Genomic DNA, 25,044 nt, shown 5'->3' with positions numbered 1-25,044 from the left:
GAGGCTCACAGCCACCTTGTTCCACAGCCGTCCAGAAGGAGAATTGCTGCTCAAATCCTATGACTGTAACCCAGAATGGTTGGTTGGTTCCGAGTTATTCCAGGTAACTTGGATTGGAGCTTTTTCTGAGGGGACCTAGTTTTGTGGGTTTATGCACTTTCCATTGCATTGAATGAAGTCACTGGGACATCAAACACATCAGCTTATCAAACACATCAGCTTTTGAGCTTCCACGTTAGCAAGGGACAAACTTACAGAATTACCACATGGAGAACAAAACCACGTTTTCCCTCTTTGCTCTGCTTCTGGATCCAAGGCTTCTCTGAGTTACTAATGGTTTCTACTGTTTCTCAAATCTCGAGTTAGTTTCACTCTTTAGCTTAATTAGGGGAGAGTTTACCTTCATCTAGGGCCATCCTCTTGAGGCCTCTCTGTACCCGGGAAATGGCCAAATCCTAGCGCTCTGGCTGGAGTGCCCAGAGGCCACGCACGGATTCTTGTTCTGGGATCTGCACTCCATACTAATGAGAAGGGATGGCTGCTCTGCAGAGATGGGCTGAAAGCAAGTGGCAGAATCTCTTGGGGCCAACCCATGACCCATTCCTGTGAATGCCACTTTGAGACTGCGACTCTGCCCAGTCCCTAATACACAAATGGTGGGTGAGGGAGCCAGCCAGGGAGGATCATCTCGGCTGGCACAGAGTGGTGTGCTTCAAAGGGCTCTGCTATTAGAGAGACTTCTGAGAGGAGCTGACCTGGGATTTCAGCCTATTTTGCAGTGGCTCCTTGACCCCTGAAAAACAAAAAAATCCTTTGAGAAGCAGCACAGATTTCTAAAGACGTTAGCAGAATAAGAAAGAAATGTGAAATTCTCCTTCTAGGCATATACACCAGAAAAACTTTTGTTTTTCAAACAAAAGTGGTCATCTGCATGTGCAAACTAGTACAAGGATGTTTGTTGCTACATTATTTATAATAAAGAAAAGTTTAAAGTAATTTATCATATGCCTAAATATAAGATAACTAAAAATATACAGTGACACCTCCTATGAGTTGAATATTTGTGTTCTCCCAAAATTGGTATGAGGAAGCCCTAACTTCCCAGTGTTGCTAATACTGGGAGTGTTTGGAGAGAGGGCCTTTATGGAAATACTTAAGGTTAAAGGAGACCATAGCAGCGGACCCTGATAGAGCTTGCTTTCCTTCCCCTCCCCAACCCAACCCCTGCACAGAAAGTAGGGGCCACAGAGAGATGGTGGCCACCTACCAGCTAAGAAGAGACCTCAGAATAAAACCTGCCATGCCTACACTTTGATCTTCCCAAACTTCAGAAGGATTGTGAGAAATAAATTTTTGTTGTTTAAGTCTTCCAGTGTGTGGTATTTGTTACAGTGGCCTGAGCTAATACTCTCCCCTTCCTTTTTAAAATGAGAAGATCAAAAAATGGTTTGGGGCCAAATTGAATATATGAACTTTGTTAGGGATGTGAAAAGTCAACTGTTTATTTAAAATGTTAGCGATACCTATTTAAAATTACATGTTGTACAAAATAATAACTTAGAAGTGTTTTTTCCTCCGATTGCATCTGTTAGATGATGATTTGACTTACGTTTCTCCCATGTGCCTTTGACATCATGTTTCTCATCTAAAAAGAACCACTTTCTGAGTCATATAAATCGTATCCCAGGGCACGTGATACTCAGTAGTTTACAAATCAGTCTATAACACTTTGTCTAGAAATTTTACCCCAACTACAAGGATCCATGTCTTAATATTAAGATGGCTGACTTATTCATTTGTCTTGCTATATATTTGCTCTCCACAACCTGACCAATTACTGTATTGTTTTAAGGTGATCTTTAAAGGGTTTATACATAATGGCACACAACACTTGCAATTACTTATAAGTGATTACCTAGTCTATATTAATTTCCTTCCTTCCTTCTTTCTTTTCTCTCCTCTTGTTTTTCTTCTCCTTCTTCTTTTTCTCTTCCTCCTCCTTCTTCTTCTCCTACTCCTCCTCCCCCTCTCATCCTCCTCCTCTTCTTCCTTCTCTTCCTCCTCCTCCTCCTCCTCCTTTTTCTTCCAAAGATAACATTGCTTCAAGTTATTTCTGGTAATGTATCTTCCCCAGCAATGTCGTGTGGTTTGAAATAAAGTAAATGCAAGATTGCACTGTAATATGAAAGTCTTTGTGAAGTCTAGTGTATGGGTACTTCTTTATCTGAGTGATAATTTTGGGGGCAATGTTGCATCATGTTCTGGCATACACGCCATCATTTGGGAAAAGAAAAAGAAAGTATATTCATATAATGAAATACTATACAGAAGTGAAAACATGAACTCTTCTCTGTCTCTCTGTGCCTCTCTCATTTTCTCTCTCTCTGTCTCTCTGTCTCTCTTTCTCTCTCTCTCTCTCGTGTGTGTGTGTGTGTGTGTCTCTGTATCTATAGATAGATACACAGTGATAACCAATAAAACACATTGCAGAAGCTACATGTAGTATGACATTTATGCAAATAAAATACCTAAAATAATATAATACAGCTGCTGTTTGATGTATTTATATGCATGTAAAAATGCAAAAGGGACTGGATAGATATAGTTCAAATAAATGGTCTTGAAGAAAGGAGAGATGAAGAGACTAGGAATTGGGACAAAGAAATTTTATCTTAATTTGTAATGTTTTATTTCATTTATTTAAAGAAAAACTTGAAGCAAATATGACAACATTTTAATAGTTTTATCTTTTGATGGGAGGTACATGTTTTAGTCTATTTTTTGTTATATTTTTAAAATTTCTCAACAAATGAATGAATTAAAGAAATGAAAAGCAGCACGGCAATTTTCTTTCACTGGTAGAGAAACAGGCTGTATTAGAAGGAACATAAATTGAATGATGTTAAAATTTTTTCTAGCAGGGCAACTTTCTATGGTCAAATACAAGTTGGAACTGGTGCTTTCTATCTATATGGTAAATTAAGACTGTGTTTATCACCAACCAGGTTTCAGAGAGAGGAGGATTGATCTGGTGTTGGCATTGGGGAAGTAAAGTAGTATTCTTTGAACTTTGAGCCAAGAGGATACCTGGCTGTGACTAGTTTCTCTGCCCTACACAGTGCGTGGGTCTGCTCCAGGCTGCATTTCTTGCCATAGACAGCTACCTGTTCCCTGAAGAACAAAGATAGGGATTATGAGGCAGATCTGGCAACCTTGGTCCTTGAATGTATCCATTCCAGATATACCTTATATATATGTATAATATATATATGTGTGTGTGTGTAATGTATACAGTATACACAGTGATTTTAAAAACGACTCATTTAAAAATGGGAATATTTTACAACCACACTGGATCCCCATGTTGTACATGGCAGGAATTGATTGCAGCTAATTGGAGTCTGCTCCAGTTTTCCACAGAGCCCCTTCTACAATCAGCTTCATTCAAGCATTAACAGGCCCCTGCAGGAATTTGAGCATGCTGCCCCATGTAGAGTAACCATGTGACAGGCAATAGCTAAGACTCTGGGATAGATGGTGCCAATCTTTCACAGAAATGCTGGCAAAGCTTATACGGGGAAGTTCATTTTAGCTCCCCACTGTGCCTCATTATAAATAAATGGTCGGAACATTTAAATATGCCACAAAAGAATGACTAGGATCTCAGCAACTGGCAATTCTTCTTTCTCTCCAGCCTGAGATTAACTAACTGACATTCCTCATCTTTAATTTCTGTGAATTAAACACTGTCCTTACCCATGAAAGCCGTAGATTTGTTAACTCCCTGTCAACTTAGAATCTATATACACATTAGCTAATTATGTCCCTTGGGATATAGCGGGGTGGGGAGGGGGACTCTTTTGCCTGTCAAATGGGAACACGTTAATGCAAATTGTGCTCAATTATATATACTCAGAAAAGAAACAAATGAGTAAAATAAGAATGTGGTCCAGGTTAATAGAAAGTTTATTTTTATGTATTCATTCAACATATATTGAGTACTATGTTCTCGGCATTGTGCTAGTTTCTAGGGATGAGATGATAATATGAAAACAGGCAATCCTTGTCTGCTTGAGGTTTAAATTCTAGTAGGAGAAGGATACTAAAACATATTTATACAGTTAATAATTAATTAATTACGACACATTTATAGGAATGGGTATTTATAGGAAACCCAGAATGTCAAGGGAGGGTATAACATTGGGAATCAGCCCCGTGCCAGGTGGCTGGCTGGGCAGGTTCCTGAGAAAGACATGGGATGGGTGTATGGGAAGCTGGCTGCCTGGAGAGAGGGGGCAGCACATTCAGGGGATGAGAACTGCAGGTGAACAGATGAGGCACAACACTGTGTGTTGGGAAACTGAAGAAGGCTTGTGTGTGCTGTGGTTCAGCGTGGGAAGGGGAGAGAGGTGCAAGATGAGACCTGACGGATACTTTGAGGGAAGCTTGGCAAGTGCAAGGATTTAAGCTTGTCATTGTTACCTCTTTGTTGCAGATGTTTTTATTTATAGAGAGGATTTCCTGCTTTTCCCTGCCTTTACCACCAGTTCAGAAGACACAGGAATGGCTGCTATTGAAGTCACTTTAGACACTTCAGGGGAAATGCCTCCAAATGTTATGTCCTGTATGCCAGGAACAATAAAGAAGAATGCAGAATTCAACAAAATAACATAGTCTTGGTTTAGCGGGAAAATGTTCCTTTACAGAATTTTTTTGTACCCCAAAGAAAGAAAAAGCTCACCTAAATAGGTGGCTTTGCACTGGTAAGATATTCTAGGTTCTCACTAGGTGCTCAAATTGGTCGGAATCCTGACTACTTGCTCACCATTGAGAGCCAAGTTATTTCTAAATGAGGGTAGCTCATTATTAAATTACAAAGAGCATAAGTATGATTTGGAAACCTAATGTATATCTTAATGAGTTTCACAATAATACCATTTGAGATGTTTCAATTGTAATTTTAGACTAATTCTTTAGGGCAGAGGCTAACCTAGCACCTCCCGTTTTATTTAATTTTTTTGTAATATAAAATAAATCAATCTTGAAATGGTTCAGCACTTTCAATTAATTTTAATGGTCTGCTGGTCTCCACATCATTGGATCAGAGCCTATGAATTCAGACATGTTGAGCTTTTTAATAGGTCCTTAAGAATAGTACATTTCCTGTACTAGATTCTTGCTAAAATAAAAAGAGCTCCTACTCAATTGGTTTATCATGACAGTGAATCTCTAAAATAAATATGGCTAATAAAGCCTCATCGGAAGCAACTGTATGGCTTTTATAGGTAAGGCAAGTTAATGTTTTTCAAGTGGATAATCAGAAAAGTGTAAGAAAGTGACTATCAGAGGAAAACCAAGTAATGGTTTATAGGGTATGTGGCTGTTATTGACATCATCCTCAAAAACTTAGGATGTATCTCAAATATCTTCAGATTTCCATTTTAAGCAATTTTCTCTATACTTTTAGCCTAGGTTACCGCTTGGGATAAAACATTGTGTCTAACACAGCAATTATTTATACACATCCTAAAGGTTACCTTCAGCACATTCAAGATACCTCTTAAATTCAGTGTCTTATGGGTAGTGATTGAATTTATTTATAAGGACAAGTTTTTCTTTAACTCGGTGTTTGGGAGCCTCTTCAATTGTGAATTATAAAAGAAGTCAGGCTCCTAGTGCTAGATAACTTTAAACATAACTTTTGTCAAGTCAACAATAATATCTGTGTCCATGCAGCTCCACCAGAGAAGTCTTGGTGCTGAGGGCAGGTTATGATATGAAAAGCCATTGTAAAATGATGTCATGGCAAGTTAAAGACAGTGGCAACATCAGAATAGTGGGAAGTTATGGGATACAAAAATGGAACATTCAGGAACACTGTGGATCAGGGAAATATTAAGGTCAAAATTGAGTTTACCATAGAGCAAGTTTCTCAACCTCAGAACTATTGACAATTTGGACTGGATAAACCTTCATTGTAAGGGATTGTTCTGTGTACTTTAAAATGTTTAGCAGCATACCTGGCCTCTGTCTGCTAGATGCCAATAGGAACCCCTTCCCTGAGTTGAGACACCAAAAATGTCTTTAGCTATTGCCAGGTATCTCCTCGTGGAAAAAATTGCACCTGCTTGAGAACAACTGGTATAGGAAATTCCACACAGCAGAGATATCACTAAAGGATTGATTGATGCAAATGACTGATAACCATAAATGTTAATCCTCTATATTGTTAGCCTAGACAACTTCTCTTACTTCCAATCTTTGTATTTAACTGGCAACATCTGTATTTAGATGTCTGAAAGACACTTTATTCTGAATAGGTACAAACGTGCACTCATGGCCGGGCGTGGTGGTTCACGCCTGTAATCCCAGCCCTTTGGGAGGCCGAGGTGGGAGGATCACGAGGTCAGGAACTCGAGACCAGCCTGGCCAATATGGTAAAACCCCATCTCTACTAAAAATACAAAAATTAGCTGGGCTTGGTGGTGCACACCTGTAGTCCCAGCTACTTGGGAGGGTGAGGCAGAAGAATCACTTGAACCTGGGAGGCAGAGGTTGCAGTGAGCTGAGATCGTGCCACTGCACTCCAACCTGGGTGACAGAGAGAGACTCTGTCTCAAACACACAAACAAAACCAAGAGTGCACTCATGACATCATTATTATTATTATTATTATTATTATTATTATTATTATTATTATACTTCAAGTTCTGGGACACATTTGCAAAATGTGCAGGTTTGTTACATAGGGATACATGTGCCATGGTGGTTTGCTGCACCCATTAACCCACCATCTACATTAGGTATTTCTCCTAATGCTATCGGTCCCCTAGCCCACCACCCACTGACAGGCCCCAGTGTGTGATGTTCCCAACCCTGTGTCCATGTGTTCTCATAGTTCAACACCCACTTATGAGTGAGAACATGCAATGTTTGGTTTTCTGTTCCTGTGTTAGTTTGCTGAGAATGATGGTTTCCACCTTCATCCATGTCCCTGCAAAGGACATGAATTCATCCTTTTTTATGGCTGCATAGTATTCCATGGTGTATATGTGCCACATTTTCTTTATCCAGTCTATTACTGATGGGCATTTGGGTTGGTTTCAAGCCTTTGCTATTGTGAACAGTGCTACAATAAACATACATGTGCATGTGTCTTTATAGTAGAATAATTTATAATCCTTTGGGTATATACCCAGTAATGGAATGGCTGGGTCAAATGGTACTTCTGGTTCTAGATCCTTGAGGAATTGCCACACGGTCTTCCACAGTGATTGAATTAATTTCCACTCCCACCAACAGTGTAAAATTGTTCCTATATATATCTCCACATCTCCAGAATCTGTTGTTTCCTGACTTTTTAGTAATCACCATTTTAACTGGCATGAGATGGTATCTCATCGTGGTTTTGATTTGCATTTCTGTAATGACCAGTGATAATGAGCTTTTTTTCATGTTTTTCTGGCCACATAAATGTCTTCTTTCGAGAAGTGTCTGTTCATATCTTTCACCCATATTTTGATGGGGTTGTTCATTTTTTTTTTCTCGTAAATTTCTTTAATTTCCTTGTAGATTCTGGATATTAGCCCTTTGTCAGATGGATAGATTGCAAAAATTTTCTCCTATTCTGTAGGTTGCCTGTTCACTCTGATGATAATTTCTTTTGCTGTGCAGAAGCTCTTTAGTTTAATTAGATCCCATTTGTCAATTTTGGCTTTTGTTACCATTGCTTTTGGTGTTTTAGTCATGAAGTCTTTGCTCATGCCTGTGTCCTGAATGGTATTGTCTAGGTTTTCTTCTGGGTTTTTATGGTTTTAGGTCTTACTTTTAAGTCTTTAATCCATCTTGGGTTAATTTTTGTATAAAGTGTAAGGAAAGGGTCCAGTTTCAGTTTTCTGTGTATAGCTAGCCAGTTTTCCCAACACCATTTATTAAATAGGGAATCCTTTCCCAGTTGCTTGTTTTTGTCAGGTTTGTCAAAGATCAGATGGGTGTAGATGTGTGGCATTACTTCTGAGTGCTCTGTTCTGTTCCATTGGTCTATATATCTGTTTTGGTACCAGTACCATGCTGTTTTGGTTACTGGAGCCTTGTAGTATAGTTTAACATCAGGTCGTGTGGTGCCTTCAGCTTTATTCTTATTGCTTAAGATTGTCTTCACTATATGGGGTCTTTTTTGGTTCCATATGAAATTTAAAGTAGTTTTTTTCTACTCTGTAAAGAAAGTCAATGGTAGCTTGATGGGGACAGCATTGAATCTATAAATTACTTTGGGCAATATGGCCATTTTCACGATATTGATTCTTCCTGTCCATGAGCATGGAATGTTTCTCCATTTGTTTTTATCCTCTCTTATTACCTTGAGCAGTGGTTTGTAGTTCTCTCTGAAGAGGTCCTTCACATCCCTTGTAATTTGTATTGCTAGGCATTTTATTCCCTTTGTAGTAATTGTGAATGGGAGTTCACTCATGATTTGGCTCTCTGTCTTTTATTGGTGTATAGAAATGTTTGTGATTTTTGCACATTGATTTTGTATCCTGAGACTTTGCTGAATTTGCTTATCAGCTTGAGGAGATTTTGGGCTCAGACGATGGGGTTTTCTAAATACACAATCATGTCATCTGCAAGCAGAGACAATTTGACTTCCTCTCTTCCCATTTGAATAACCTTTATTTCTTTCTCTTGCCTGATTGCCCTGGACAGAACTTCCAATACTATGTTGAATAGGAGTGGTGAGAGAGGGCATCCTTGTTTTGTGCCAGTTTTCAAAGGGAATGCTTCCAGTTTTTGCCCATTCAGTATGATATTGGCTGTGGCTTTGTCATAAATAGCTCTTATTATTTTGAGATACACTCCATCGATACCTAGTTTATTGAGAGTTTTTAGCATAAAGAATTGTTGAATTTTGTCAAAGGCCTTTTCTGCATCTATTGAGATAATCATGTGGTTTTTGTCATTGGTTCTGTTTATGTGATGGATTACGTTTATTGTTTTAGGTATGCTGAACCAGGCTTGCGTCCCAGGGATGAAGGCGACTTGATCGTGGTGGATAAGCTTCTTGATGTGCTGCTGCATTCGGTTTCCCAGTATTTTATTGAGGATTTTTGCATTGATGTTCATCAGGTATATTGGCCTGAAATTTTTGTTGTTTTCTTGTCTCTGCCAAGTTTGGTATCAGGATGATGCTGGCCTCATAAAATGAGTTAGGAAGAATCACCTCTTTTTCTATTGTTTGGAATAGTTTCAGAAGGAATGGTACCAGCTTCTCTTTGTAACTCGGGTAGAATCCATCTGTGAATGTGTCTGGTCCTGGGCTTTTTTGTTTGGTAGGCTATTAATTATTGCCTCAATTTCAGAACTTGTCATTGTTTTATTCAGGGATTTGACTTTTTCCTGGTTTAGTCTTGGGAGGGTGTATGCATCCAGGAATTTATCTTCTAGATTTTCTAGTTTATTTGCATAGATGTGTTTAAAGTATTCTCTGATGGCAGTTTGTATTTCTGTGGGATCAGTGGTGATATCCCCTATATCATTTTTTATTGTGTCTATTTGATTCTTCTCTCTTTTATTCTTTATTAGTCTAGCTAGTGGTCTATTTTAGTCTTTTCAAAAAACCAGCTCCTGGATTCATTAATTTTTTGAAGGGCTTTTCGTGTCTCTATCTCCTTCAGTTCTGTTCTCATCTTAGTTATTTCTTGTCTCTGCTAGCTTTTGAATTTGTTTGCTCTTGCTTCTCTAGTTGTTTTAATTTTGATGTTAGAGTGTTGACTTTAGGTCTTTCCCGCTTTGTCCTGTGGCCATTTAGTGCTATAAATTTCCCTCTAAACACTGCTTCAGCTATGTCCTAGAGATTCTGGTACGTTGTATCTTTGTTCTCATTGGTTTCAAAGAACTTATTTATTTCTGCCTTAATTTTGTTATTTACCCAGTAGTCATTCAGGAGCAGGTTGTTCAGTTTCCATGTAGTTGTGCGGTTTTGAGTGAGTTTCTTAATCACGAGTTCTAATTTGATTGCACTGTGGTCTAAGACTGTTTGTTATGATTTCCTTTTCTTTCTTTTTTTTTGCATTTGCTAAGGAGTGTTTTACTTCCAATTATATGGTAAATTTTAGAATAAGTGTGATGTGATGCTGAGAAGAATGAATATGCTATTGATTTGGGGTGGAGAGTTCTGTAGATGTCTATTAGGTCCACTTGGTCCAGAGCTGAGTTCAAGTCCTGAATATCCTTGTTAATTTTCTATCTTGTTGATCTGTCTAATATTGACAGTGGAGTGTTAAAGTCTCCCACTATTATTGTGTGAGAGTCGAAATCTGTTTGTAGGTCTTATGAACTTGCTTTATCAATCTGGGTGCACCTTTATTGGGTGCATTTACATGTAGGATAGTTAGCTCTTCTTGTTGCACTGATCCCTTTACCATTATGTAATGCCCTTCTTTGTCTTTTTTGATCTTTGCTGGTTTAAAGTCTGTTTAATCAGAGACTAGGATTGCAACCCATGCTTTTTTTTTTTTTTTGCTTTCCATTTGCTTGGTAAATATTCCTCCATCCCTTTGTTTTGAGCCTATGTGTGTCTGTGCACATGAAATGAGTCTCCCGAATACAGCACACTGATGGGTCTTGACTATCCAATTTGCCAGTCTGTGTCTTTCAATTGCGGCATTTAACCCATTTACATTTAAGGTTAATATTGTTATGTGTGAATTTGATTCTGTCATTATGATGCTAGCTGGTAATTTTGCCCGTTAGTTCATGCAGTTTCTTCATAGTGTCGATGGTCTTTACAATTTGGTATGTTTTTGCAGTGGCTGGTACTGGTTTTTCCTTTCCATATTTAGTGCTTCCTTCAGGAGCTCTTGTAAGACAGGTCTGGTGGTGACAAAATCTCTTAGCATTTGCCTGTCTGTAAGGGATTTTATTTTTCCCTCGCTTATGAAGCTTAATTTGGCTGGATATGAAATTCTGGGTTGAAAATTCTTTTCTCCAAGAATGTTGTATGTTGGCTCCCACTCTCTCCTGGCTTGTAGGGTTTTGGCAGAGAGATCCACCGTTAATCTGATGAGCTTCCCTTTGTGAGTAACCCGACATTCCTCTGGGACTGTCCTTAACATTTTTTCCTTAATTCTAAGCATGGTAAATCTGACAATTATGTGTCTTGGAGTTGCTCTTCTTGAAGAGTATCTTCGTGGTGTTCTCTGTATTTCCTGAATTTGAATGTTGGCCTGTCTTGCTAGGTTGGGGAATTGGGGAAGTTCTGCTGGATGTTATCCTGAAGAGTGTTTTCCCACTGGGTTTCATTCTCCCCATCACTTTCAGTACACCAATCAAACGTAGATTCGGTCTTTTCACATAGTCCCATATTTCTTGGAGGCTTTGTTCGTTCATTTTCATTCTTTTTTCTCTAAGCTTGTCTTCACACTTTATTTCATTAAGTTGTCTTCAATCTCTGATGTCTTTTCTTCTGCTTGATCTGTTCGGCTATTGATACTTGTGTATGCTTCACGAAGTTCTTGTGCTATGTTTTTCAGCTCCTTCAGGTCATTTGTGTTTTTTTCTAAACTGGTTATTCTAGGTAGCAATTCGTCTAACCTTTTTTCAAGGTTCTTAGCTTCCTTCCATTGGGTTAGAACATGCTCCTTTAGCTCAGTGGAGTTTGTTATTATTCACCTTCTGAAGCCTACTTCTATCAACTCGTCAAATTCGTTCTCCGTCCAGTTTTGTTCCCTTGCTGGCGAGGAGTCGTGATCCTTTGGAGGAGAAGAGGCATTCTGGTTTTTGGAACTTTTGGCCTTTCTGAGCTGTTTTTTCCTCATTTTTGTGGATTTATCTATCTTTGGTCTTTGATGCTGGTGACCTTCGGATGGGGTTTTTGTGTGGACGTCCTTTTTGTTGATGTTGATGCTATTCCTTTCTGTTTGTTAGTTTTCCTTCTAACAGTCAGTCCTCTCTGCTGCAGGTCTGCTGGAGTTTGCTGAAGGTCCACTCCACACCCTGTTTGCCTGGGTATCACCAGCAGAGGCTGCAGAACAGCAAAGTTTGCTTCCTGTTCCTTCCTTTGGAAGCTTCGTCCCAGAGGGGCACCCACCAGATGCCAACCAGTGCTCTTCTGTATGAGGTGTCGGTTGACCCCTGCTGGGAAGTGTCTCTCAGACAGGAGGCATGGGGTCAGGGACCCACTTGAGGAGGCAGTCTGTCCCTTAGCAGAGTTAGAGCACTGTGCTGGGACATCCGCTGCTCTCTTCAGAGCTGGCAGGCAAGAACATTTAAGTCTGCTGAAGCTGCACCTCCTCCCCCAGGTGCTTTGTCCCTGGGAGATGGGAGTTTGATCTATAAGCCCCTTACTGGGGCTGCTGCCTTTCTTTCAGAGATGCCCTGCCCAGAGAGGAAGAATCTAGAGAGGAGTCTGGCTACAGCAGCTTTGCCAACCTGTGGAGGGCTCTTTCCAGTTTAAGTTCCAGGTGGATTTGTTTACACTGTGAGGGGAAAACCGCGCACTTCCCAAGTGAGGCGACTCCCCACCCTGCTTTGGCTCTCACTCTGGGGGCTGCACCCACTGTCTAACCAGTCCCAATTAGATTAACTGGGTACCTCAGTTAGAAGTGTAGAAATCACCTGCCTTCTGTGTTGATCTCGCTGGGAGCTGCAGCCTGGAGCTGTTCCTATTCGGCCATCTTGCCAGCCACCACCTTCTTCTCATGAGCTTTCATCTACAAAATTTATTCCTTCTTGATGACTCCTGATCTCAGTGAATGTACCAAGTTAGAGACCTAGGATTCATTGCTGATTCCCTCTTCTTGCTCATTTTCCACATGCAATCAGTCTACAAGATTTGCCTTATGATTTTTTACCACAAAATATCTCTTGAGGCCATCTACTTCTCACTAATTTTACTGCCACTGCCCCAGTAAGTAAGTATGCTAGCCCCAGTCCAAGCTAGCATAATCTCTCTCTCGTCAGCTTCCACTATGGAGGCTAGAGAGGCAAAATACTTTATTTTCCAGTTTCTCTTGCAGATAGAGGATGTTCATGTGATTTATTTCTGACCATTGAGTTGTTACCAGGTGGTCTTCAGAAAGTTCCTGGAAGATATTGTTTTCCTAATAGAATGTACAGAGATGCTGGCATTGTCCCTTGATATGTTTCAGCCATTTTGAATGCAGACTTCATGCCCAGAGTTGAAACAGTCATTCTGTAACCATGAAGGAAAGGCCACTGAAATCCACAGAGATGCTGGCTGGACATTTTTGAACCACGAAATGAATGGCCATAGCTGCCTATCTCTCATCATACTGTCACGTAAGAACAGCACAATCCCCACTTGTGGAATTCACTGTCTGTTGGGTATTCTGTTCCCTTCAGATGCTTTCCTGGTGAATACATTAGCTTTTCAGTCACGAAGAAGGTATTTAAGAGTGCTCTCCATTCCTTGATTTTTCCATTTGTGTAGTGAGGATAACTTTGTAATGACTGGGCTGATATAATAGTGTGAGATTTAGAAGAGATAATGCTAGACACGTAATAAGTATATAACGGTACTATTTTTTAATTAAAACATTTGAACTCTTTGGCCTTTGTAGGTCTCAATTAAAGCTATGCATGTGCATTTCTTGAAGATCATCACATCACAAACAGCAGATGAAAAAATAGCTTCCTGTGTTCCTATGAAGACAGGCACTGTGGTTAGTGATAGCTTTCACTGAACTGGATTTCAGGACAGCAGTTAGAGATTGACATCATTACCCTTCTGAATCAAGAGGCGACATGACTGACATCACCTTTGAGTTTCCAGCCTCCTGGTGATATTGTTTGCTGCATCTTACACCACATACCTCAGTCAGCTTACTTTGCCCTGCTTCCAGGCATCTGTGAACCATCTGGCCTCTTGACGGATCTGGCATATTTCATGTAGAGATGCTGAATTCCAAAACTGGGCACCTAAAGGCTGAGCATGAGGGAACAGGTCTTCTAATCAGGTATGCTGATTTGGAGAGAAGACATTGCAAAAGGCAGCTACAACCTCAGGCTGAAGATTAGATGACAGGACACCCAGAGTTTCCTTAGTTAAATTTGTGAGGCTTTTCCCAGCATGCCCAGTAAGAGGACATAGGTAGTGGGGAGCAAAAAGATAGAAAAGCAAATGCATAAAATTGGCTTGCAGGAGACTGCTGGTTTATCAACAGTTCCAGGAGATAGCTAGCATCACCTCTGCTTTGCCTCCAGCCTTCTGAAATTATTTCTAGCCATGGGTGAGAGGGATTCTTTCTTCCTCCCCTTCACATCAAATGCTGTACTGGAAATCAATCAAGCATGTGGCCAGAGCCAAGAATTGCATCATCAGTGTTTCTGAATAAGATCCAGGCAAGAATGCCTCCCCCTCTGAGGCCTCTTACTGCAGGCCGCTAGGAAGAGCCCTCCATGACTTGAAGGATGAGAAAAAAAGCTGGAGCCTGTTGTAAGGCTGTCTAGTCCCATTAAAAAACAATGTCAATGGAGAGAAAAAAGTCTTGTTTAATATTCTATATATTTCTAAAGAGTCTGGGAAAAAGTGTGGTGAGGGAAGAGCAAAGAAAGCAAAGATGTTGCTTTCAAACATGATAGGTCAAGTTCATGGAGTTCTATAGGTGAACACGTGTCAACAGCATTCTTTTTTATGGAGATGATTATTTATTGAGGTTTGAGTGTGAACCAGTCACTAGCGTAGCTATTTTATGTAGAGCATTTATTTCATTCAGTCCTCAAAATAGCCAAGCAAGTTGAATGATAATACTCCCCTGGGACAAAAAGGTGTTCCGATAAGTTATGTAACTTGCTCAAGGTCATGCATGTTGTATGCAGCTTCACACAATGGTATCACATTAAGTAATATAATTACTTAACAACGAGAGCAGGTGCAGTTTATCAAATGCCTACTTTCTGCTCTGAACTTTGGAAATATGATCTCAGCCACTCTAAGGGTTAGATATTATCTCCAACTTATCAGTGAAAAAACAGATTCTGAGAGGTTAGGTAATTTGTTAACTAACTTTGGGCAAGATGCTTGATGTGTCAGAGCAACCATTTCCTCAATATTAAAAGGAAGAAAACAGCATCTGCTTTACAGTGTTACATTGTTTTAAAGAACAAAATGAAGGAGGATGAAGAAAAGCAAAAGTTTGTTTCTATCCTAAGAGCTTGGGAAAACCAAAGTAGCTTGGGAAATTATCAACACAGTAATGACTGTGCACTTTGTGAATCATTATTACTTATGGTTCTGGCAGAACTCCTCTTTCAGAGATGGCAAAAGGAAAGGCAGGGTGGCCCTTGCCCTGAGTCTTGGCCCAGGCAGCCTGGATAATGGGTGCTCAGACATGTGAAATTTTCTGCTGTTGTGCAGGGCAGCCTGGGTGACCTTGCCTCTCTAAAATGCCACTTAGAATTCCAGGGCAATTCTAAATAAAAGCATCTTGTCATAGAGTAGTTGAGAGCATGGGTTTGGAAAATCAGGCCAATGTAGTTTTATTCCTGGCTCTACCACTTATAAACTGTAGGACTAAGTATTTAATCTGTAAAATAAACCTGATAAATCTGTTGCAGCTTTCGACGAGAAAGTGTATGTAGCATGCTTAGCATAATGGCTGACTCACAGTACATATTCAACACATAGCAGTTGTCATTGCTGTTGTAATTGTTAACCCATATCACGGATGTTCACAGCCAATTTTCCTGTGACATGCACTTCATTTTTTCAGCCCAGGATGCAAATACCTACTCTATCTCTTACCTCTTGCAGGAACCCTCTCAGTTAAAACCACTGAATTCCAGTGTTTGACTTTGACAAGGTGACCCTCATTTCAGTTTTTTACAGACTATGATTATGAATTTGGACTCATTAGACCAGTATTTCAATTCTGCTCTACTACTTTCAACATGGAGAGTCAAGCCTCAGTTCAGAAAAGATCCAAAGGGCATCCCTGATTCCCTGCCACAGGATGATGTTGCTTGCTGGTTATGCCAGGCCGGTTATTTTTGGTCCACCATTCTGTTCCCACCCCTCAAGCCAGCGACTTCCTGCATGTTTGTTTTCTCCTTTGCCTTGCATCATTTGAGGGAGAACTCTTGAGATGTAAACAATTCTCTTATTTTAGTAAGAATGTGTATCCTGTCTCTGATTTAGGAGCAAGTGAGTCAGGACCATGAGCAAGAGGAGAAGATAGGTGCCCTATGATATCTAGATCCCAAAATCCTGTAGGGACAGACACAATGTTTTCTTTCTTTTTAATTTTATTAATTAAATATTTAAAAATAAAAATAAAATATACTAACTTTAATGAATTCAGTCACCATCCCATTAAATGGGGGAAATAAAAGCTTTTTCTTTCTACTTGGTGTTTACTCACTCTCTGTCACTTTGGCTTTTTTACCTCCATTAAACATTCTGAGTAGTTTTTTGTGCAGCCTTCTAAAACTTTTCTAAGCATATACAACTATATGTCTGTTTATTTCAACTTCAACAATGTGGAGAAAAAAGATTGATTAATAGATAATCTTTACATTTTTTAATCTATCTATCTATCTATCTATCTATCTATCTATCTATCTGTCTATGCAAAAGTAACTCCAGCCTAAATCCTTGAAATTGATTTTTTCAGCCAATGTGAATGTGCATTTTAAATATGGAATAGATAGAAATGCCAAATTTCTCTTGGGAAAGATTATAGATTCGCACTATCGCTAAACAAGAGTGACTGTTTTCTTATACTATTGCCACAAAAGCATTATTAAACTACTAAATTTTGGTAATCTTTATGAACATGGGAGGACAATACTAATGCAAAGTTAATGCTAAAATAAGAGAATTAACTACATATTAGCTCAACTAGGAGAACTAACATTAGGGTGAGTTGTTACTCTTTCCCTTAATTTACCCTTCTAACAAAATGCTAATTCTTCAAGTTAGTTTCTTACCTACCTCATGGGAAAATTAATTGATTAATACAGTTTTTCAAGGAAGGAGAATGCTCAGAAATGATGAGCAATAAAAGGACTCCATCTGGCTCCATGTCTCCAAAACAGAATTTTATTAGGGTCTGATAGAAAGGTGTGGCCATATCATTTAGGGTTAATGTGGAGACAGTCTTGTCGGCTTGAAGCAATTCTTGTGGAAACAAAAGCCAGTGAAAAAGGCCACCAAAAGTCCCTCAGCACTTGCAAACACTAGAGGGCCATGGGGGAATGCAGCCATCCACAGCCCCAGCAGAATGACCTGGGTGACAATGGGGACTGGCAATCTGTGGATCCACTTATACTAGAAAAAACACAGGGAAAATCTGTTTGAAAAACTGGAAAACACATATCCCTTCTGAATCATCCATTAAGAGACTCTACATTGGCTCCACTAACTGAGTTGTGTCTACCTTTCCCATCTTACTACATGCTACTCTCTCCAACTTCAGGGAAGTGTTATACAGGCATCACCTAGTTTAATCCCTATGGCCAAATCTGCAGTTTTTCCCCCCCATTTTATAGATAATAATACTAAGGCTTAGGTCATACACTGCTAGAACTTGATTCCAAATCCTTTATTTTTGACTATATGACATAGTACATAGTCTTCCTCCCTGACCCTCCCACCCCGCATTCAGACATTTATTTATATTTGACAAAGAATAACTGAAAATATGCTGAGGGACTAACATTGGAATGAAAAGCAAAAATGCAAGTGTACATAAGAATGCAGGTTTCTAGAATGTATTTATCTTATAAGGATTTATTGAGCCCTTACTGTATGCTAAGTGATGCTCTAGTTGCAGTTTAAATAGTGAATAAGACAGAGAAAATCCTTGTGTATATTTCCAGAGGAGGGAGACAATGAACAAGTGAGCCAACAAACAAATGAGTTAATTGAAATTTATGCATACAATAAACAAAACAAAAATGGATAATGAATTAGAGAGCCATTGAGGGTGACCTGAGCACAGGTGGTCATAGAGGGCCTCTCTGAGGAGGTGGCATTGAAACCAAAGATAGAGCCAGCCACGAATAAATGTGGGAACAGAAAATTCTAGTTGCTGGTAGCAGCAGGGGCCTGGCAGATGGAATTATTGGTCTTAATCCTTCATTGTCCTTAATAGGATTATATATCTACCCCATTTGCCAGATAACTTTGCAGTATCCTCCCATTGTGGGCAGAGTGTCATTTCCTGCCCCATTAATGTTGGGCTTGATTGAATGGCTTGTTTTGGCCAATGGGAAGTTCTTCAAGGTTTTAAATTCAGTGCTTTCACAGTTCAGCTTGGTCTCTTGTACTCCTATTACGCACAATGAAAGGAACATGGCCTGGGTAGCACTGGTTAAGCAGAATTGGGCACACACAAGGCAGATATGAACTGAACTCATAGTTTGAAGCCAAGCTGAGCTGACCTATGGCCTGAAGCAGAGCTGGTCCTTGCAAATCTAGAACTGACCAGCAGACCCATGCACAAATATGCACAAAAGGCTTATTGTAGCAAGCTACTCATTCGGGGAGTGGTTTGTTATGTATCCTAGTGGACTAAGAGAAGGAACAAAATCTCTGAACTGGGAATAAACTTGGAATGTCCCAGAAACAGAAAGAAAGCCATTCTGATGGAAGCAGAGTGAGCAAAAGGGGCAGGATTTGAAGCAATGAAGAGAGGGGCCAAATCATACAGGCTCTTGTGGGTCAATAATTTTCTTTTAAATTTAATTTTTCTAATTGTAGCAAGAACATTTAGCATGAGATCTACTCTCTTAAATTTTAAAAATGCAACATAGCATTGTTATCTATAGGCACAATGTTGTACATCAGACCTCTAGAATCCTCTTGGTAACTCCACATTTTCTCTCCTCCCAGCCCCTGGAAACCACCATTCTATTTTCCATTTCTATGAGTTTGACTTTTTAGATATTTCATGTAAGTGGAATCATACAGTATTTGTCCTTCTGTGACTGGCTTATTTCACATACATAGTGTTCTCAAGTTTCATCCATATTGTCACATATTGCAGGATTTTCTTTTTAAGGCTGAATAATATTCCATTGGATGTATACACCACATTTTCTTTATCCATTCTTCTGTTGATGGGAATTTATGCTTTTCCACATCTTGGCTATTGTGAATAATGCAACAATGAACATGGGAATGCAAATATCTCTTCGAGATCCTGATTTCAATTCTTTTGGATAAACATCTAGGAGTGGTATTGCTGGGTCATGTGGTAGTTCTTGCATTTTATTCCAAGTATGAGGATTTCGAGCTGGAGAGTCATATGATCTGATTTATATTTTGAAAAGATCAAAATGTTGAGAATAAAATATAGTTTGTCAAGAACAAAAAAGAAGGAAGATCAGATGAGAGGTTATTATAGTAATCAAGAAAAAGATGTTCAGGGCTACCATGTATAGTTATTTGGGATTTGTGCTGCTGAGAGTGTCCAGAAAAGTGGGAAAATGAGAGCTACAGTCCAACTCAGATGTTCCCTATTGTAAATTTTGTCACAAGGCCATAGCTACTCAGAGGGAGTGTATTTTTCTAATTTGTAAGAAACCACCATATGGACTAGTGGTGGCATTGATGATGGCTTGCACTTGGATGGTAGTAAATGTGTTTTTTCTCTTTCCTGACTATTTGATGAATAGTATTGATCAGAATAGAAATCTATTGAATCAGAGAAGAAAATGTATGTTTAAATATAAGTGTATACAGTATGTATAGAGCTAGTGTGCTTGCAAATGTATACTTCTATGGTCATGTATGCTTGGAAACATTCTGTATGCTGTGTTATTGAATGACAATATATCAAATTAGTGGATTAAGGAGAATAGGATGTGCTTGCTTAAGTATGTGAAGACAGAGGCCAGTTAGGGCCAAAGAGACTGCAGAGTATTTATAGTCCTGTGTCCAAAATGTGAAGTGAACAAGAATATATTGGTGTTCAACCATTTGGAGAAAGTCTGTGTGGTTCTCAGCTGGGTAGGCACCATCCCAGGAAACTAGGTTACAGGGACCTACTAGGTAACAATATAATTAGATAAGTTATATGCAAATGAAGTAGACAATAATCAAGGGTAGAATGAAGTATGCATGAAGAGAGCTGCCTCTTCTATGAAGGAAAATCTAAATGGAATTTTGAAAAGGTGATTAGAAGACAACAAATGAGATCAGATGAGGAAGGGTTCAGTTACTAAATAAAAGGGAGGTACTTAGCTGATGAGTTCAGGTATGTCTCCCTGTGGCAATTATCCTAACCAGATAGATGAATCAAGTGTTCATGACCCCACGTTGCCTTACCTGTTCTGCCTGTGGTCATCTGTCCACTGAAAGAAATTTCAAGGAAAACAACATGATCTGGAACATGAAAGATAAAATGTTTCTAGAAAATGTTATGTGTATCGCTTCTCAGCCTTTTGGCGAAGATCAAATGAAAATACTATGTGCTTTGTAGTTAAGGAAATTAGTAGCTTCTGTTTATTAAGCATTTACTATGGGCCAGTTACTCTAATAAAAGTCCTTTATATGCCTTATCTACTTCAATCTTCATATCAACCTCTGGAATGTGGGTTCTATTACCTCCATTTTAAGGATGTAAAAACTGGGGTTTGGTGAGGTTAAGTTGATCCAGCCCAAGGTCACAGCCAGGCACTGCCCTGCTAGCTTGTGCTGTTCCATGGTCATGTGCTGCTGCTCAGAGATTCTTGGTTGCTCACCAGTCTGAGTGGCATTATAGTCTAGCACTTTAAAGTGTTGCTTCTGAGGTCAGCCTGGCTGAATTTTAATTCTGACTCCAGCACTTGGGCAAATTGGGCAAGCCTCTTTGAGCCTCAGTTTCTTCATTTTACATATGGGAATAAGAACTTACTACAGAGCCTGGTCCAGTGTAAATGGAAGGTAATTTTTCTTACTTTTCACAATGTGCTGTGAGGTTCCCAGTTCCTTCTTTAGAAGCATCAAATAGCTTTCCAGAGACTTTGAATTCAAGATAAAGGGTAAACCTATGGTATATTTCCCAAAGTAACACAAATGATTCATGATCGAATGAGTTTAGAAAACAACTCTCACAGAATCCCAATGCAAACCAGCATATTAAAAGCTGCAAAGTCCTGTACTAAAGAACTGTTGTTTAGATAATGATTTCCTAATTTGATTTGATCATGGAAACAATTAATATGATGATTCAATGCACAGGACCAGCAAACTCCTGGGGTCACACAGTAGCCCATTGTGCTTTTATCTTCGTCAAGCCTCTTAACCTCTCTATACCTTAGTTTTCTCATCTGTAAAATGAAAATGATAATAGTGATTTTTTTCATAGGGCAGTTTGGAGGAGGAAATGCGTAGAAAATGACTGATATCTAGTAGGAGCTTAATAAATGTGAGCTCGTATTATCATGACTATTGTTTTAAACGTCTGAACACTGATATCACGTTCTGTGGTCCAAATATTTGTTTTTCTCTTAATTTTATCACCATTGTTTTAGTGTGTACTCTTTCACTCTATGTGGCTTTAAACTGTGGAATTAAGTGGATGAGGTGTGGAGACATGGGGTAGGAAAGAGAGTCTTACAGTTGCTCAGAGGATTAGAATAGCTCATGAACTTTGCAAAGTAGACAGAACCACAGCGATGAAATAGTTATGATCACTCCTCATGGAGCTTTCAGACCCTAGGGGATGGGAGAGTTAGGTTCTGTGGTACATCTTCTGACAAGGGCCCTGCTATCACTAATCTCCCAGCTTTGATGACCCCAGGCCTCCACCCCCTGTGAATACTCTCCCAGCCATCCACTCCATTGCTTCTAAAAGCTACTGCCAGAGGCAAGGAAATTAAATCTCATTGTTAAAAAGTGTATGCTGTGTGGTTCATAGCTGCCCTTCTTTCAGTGAAAGATGAAAATGGGTTTTGGGATCCTAGTAGTCAGCCTATCTTTCAGATAGCCCTCATTTATTTGAAGTCCTTATTAGTGATATCTATACAGACACGGCAGAAAAAAAAAAAAACTTCTGGGGATCAAGAGCTAGGAAATCATTAATTTGCTTTCTTGCATAACTATTGGGCAGCATAGCCATGGCTACTGGAGGCCTGTAATTAATTAACTAATTAATGTGCTCATTAATTCATTATATGCATATTGAGTGGTTGCTATGTATCAGGTACTGGGCTAAGCTCCGAGGGCAAAAGAGATGAATGAGACGTGGTCTCTGCCCTCAAAGATCTCAACATTCAGTTGGGAAGAAAATGCATGTATACAAATAATTTTAATTCAAAGTAATTTTCCATATGAGTAATGGAAATGTGGCAGACAAAATTTATTAACCTGGCCATCATTATAACACCTCCTCCCCTTTCATATAGCTTCTGTTATCTCTACCTTAATTTCTGTCCTTTCATCTTAATACAGATTGGATCTGTGTCCCCACTCAAATCTCATATTCAATTGTAATCCCTCGTGTTGGAGGTGGGGCCTGGTAGAAGGTGATTAGATTATGAGGGTGGTTTATCATGAATGGGTTAGCACAATTCTCTCAGTGCTGTTCTCATGATAGGGAGTGAGTTATCATGAGATCTGGTTGTTCAAAAGTAGGTAGCACCTCTCCTCTCTCTCTCTCTTCCTCCTGCTCCAGCCATGTGAAGTGCCATTTCCCCTTTGTCTTTCACTGTGACTGTATGTTCCCTGAGGCCTCCCCAGATGCAGATGCCATTATGCTTCCTGTAGAGCCTGCAGAACTGTGAGCCAATTAAACCTCTTTTCTTTATAAATTACTCAGTCTCAGGTAGTTTTTTATAGCAGTGTGAGAATGAACTAATAAACATCCCCTGGAAAGTCTGCCTCTGCTAGACAGTTTCTAGGGGTGTGTGTGAGAGAGAGAAAGAAAGAGAGAGTGAGAGAGATTAATACAGACGCAGAATCAGCAATACATAGAGGACAAAAGGAATATTTTTCCAAAGTAGCATCACTCTGGAGGTGAACCACTGAGTCATGGCCTTCAGAGGGTTATGGACATAGAATCTCATGGGAGTTCAGAAGAGGCAGAGAGCTGCTCCAACAGGGATGGCCAAGGAAAATGTCACAGAGGTGACACTTATGAATTAGGTCTGTATTAGTCTGTTTTCATGCTGCTGATACATAACCGAGACTGGGTAATTTATAAAGAAAAAGAGGTTTAATGGATTCACTGTTCCACATGGCTGGGGAGGACTCACAGTCATGGTGGAAGGCAAAAGATATTTCATACCTGGAGGCAGCAAGAGAGAATGAGAACCAAGTGAAAGGGGTTTCCCCTTATAAAACCATCAGCTCTCATGAGACTTATTCACACCACAAGAACAGTATGGGGGAAACTGCCCACATGATTCAATTACCTCCCACCGGGTCTCTCCCACAACACATGAGAATTATGGGATCTACAATTCAAGATGAGATTTGGGTGGGGACACAGCCAAACCATATCAAGCCCCTACAGAATAGACAGATTTTGATACACAGTAAAAGTTAGTAGAGGTGTTGTGTTCTGGGCAAGGGACACCTTTTAAATCAAGTAGCAGAGTGGAACTATTGTCTTTAGGACATACTGTTGCAAGTAGTCTGGGTTTTATAGGACAGTAATGAAATAAGACCAGAAAAGCTAGTTGAGGTCAGAATTCCGTGAACCAGATTTTAACACAACATTGATTTTTGTCACAATATTTCCTTCTTCAGTTGAATTGATGGTGGGGTGGCCTGGACTATGAGTTTGGCTTTCTATATTGTGAGAAAGAGACATGCCCAGATTAAGGGGAATTACCTTTCCGTCACCATAATTGGGACTATTGGAAGGGTAATTCCAGGAAAGCACTTTGCACTGCAGCTTCCAGGAGGCCAGGTCCTCCCTCTGCTTGCAGTCATAAAATCATCAGACAGGCACATGATCTATGCTTGGTCACCCGGAGCATTGTAACTTGAGCGAATGACCCAAGGACAAGAGGGAATGTTAGAGATGATTTATTGCAGCAGCAGTGGTGGTGGCATCAGCAGCAGCAGTGAAATTAGTCTCACCTGATAGCTGTCCTAGCTACAAGGTAGTTGCCATCCTTCTTGGACTTCTAAACTTAACACAATCCATGCTTCTTTTGATGCCTCGTGCCCAAGCTACTCTTCCCTCTCTTTCCTACACTGGTAATTTTCCAACGCATCATGCTTATCTTAAATTAACCAAAATCAATTTCTGTTACTTGCAACCAAAAACCTTAACTGACCCTTGGGTCAAAAGCTCTCCATAGTTCTGTGGGCTGATGAATGTCAGCTCAGATTTTTTTTCTGGAGAAAGCCCTTTCTTACAGAGCTCAGAAAGTTGACTAGGCCTGAGACAATGTATTAGTCCATTCTCACACTGCTATAAAGAAATACTTGAAACTGGGTAAGTGATAAAGAGGTTTAATTGGCTCACTTTCTACAGGCTATACAGGCTTCTGCTTCCGGGGAGGCCTCAGGAAACTTACAATCACGGTGGAAGGCAAAGGGGAAGGAGGCACGTCTTACATGGCCAGAGAAGAAGGATGAAAGTGAAGGGGGAGGTGCTACACACTTTTAAACAACCAGGTCTAATGAGAACACACTCACTATCATGAGAATAGCAAGGGGAAATTCATCCCCATGATCCAATCACCTCCCACCAGGCCCCTCCTCCAACACTGGGCATTATAATTCCATATGAGATTTTGGTGGGGACACAGATCCAGACCATATCAGACAGTTCTACATTTTGCAGCTATGTTCCCACCTTGCGACACAACTTCTCCAACAGCAAGGGCAGAATAATTGCTGGACTTTTCCAAACATCACACTGGAAAGCACCAGGAGGTTAAATGACTAGCTCAAAGCACCAAGCCTGACAGCTCTTAATCCAAGATTAAAGCCAAGTGTGGGGTTTACAGGTAGGTGTGCGCAAAGCTCAGCTTCTGGAATTTCACATTTGTTTGTGGAGTAACAGCACAAAGCCTTTGTTTATATGACTTTAAAAGAATTAATCTCATTCATTCTGAAGAACGTGGCAGCAGAGCTGACTGGAATCT

General features: G+C 39.8%; 1 protein-coding gene across 4 annotated transcripts in view; it reads left to right on the top strand.

The window, feature by feature from the left end:
• The window catches only part of PRELID2 (PRELI domain containing 2), a 606,358-nt gene that overhangs the window by 310,507 nt on the left and 270,807 nt on the right, over positions 1 to 25,044 (top strand). For 2 of the 4 annotated variants that reach the window (XM_047416832.1, XM_047416828.1), the window contains one exon: positions 8,997 to 9,123. The exons of the other annotated variants lie outside the window; for them this stretch is intronic. The gene's annotated coding sequence lies outside the window, so the exon portion shown is untranslated. Of the gene's footprint in view, positions 1 to 8,996; positions 9,124 to 25,044 lie in introns of those variants that run through there. 4 annotated transcript variants of the gene reach the window in all.

This window comes from Homo sapiens, chromosome 5, assembly GCF_000001405.40.
Source record: "Homo sapiens chromosome 5, GRCh38.p14 Primary Assembly".
Lineage (NCBI taxonomy): Eukaryota > Metazoa > Chordata > Mammalia > Primates > Hominidae > Homo > Homo sapiens.
This window is presented reverse-complemented; position numbering and strand designations above follow the sequence as displayed.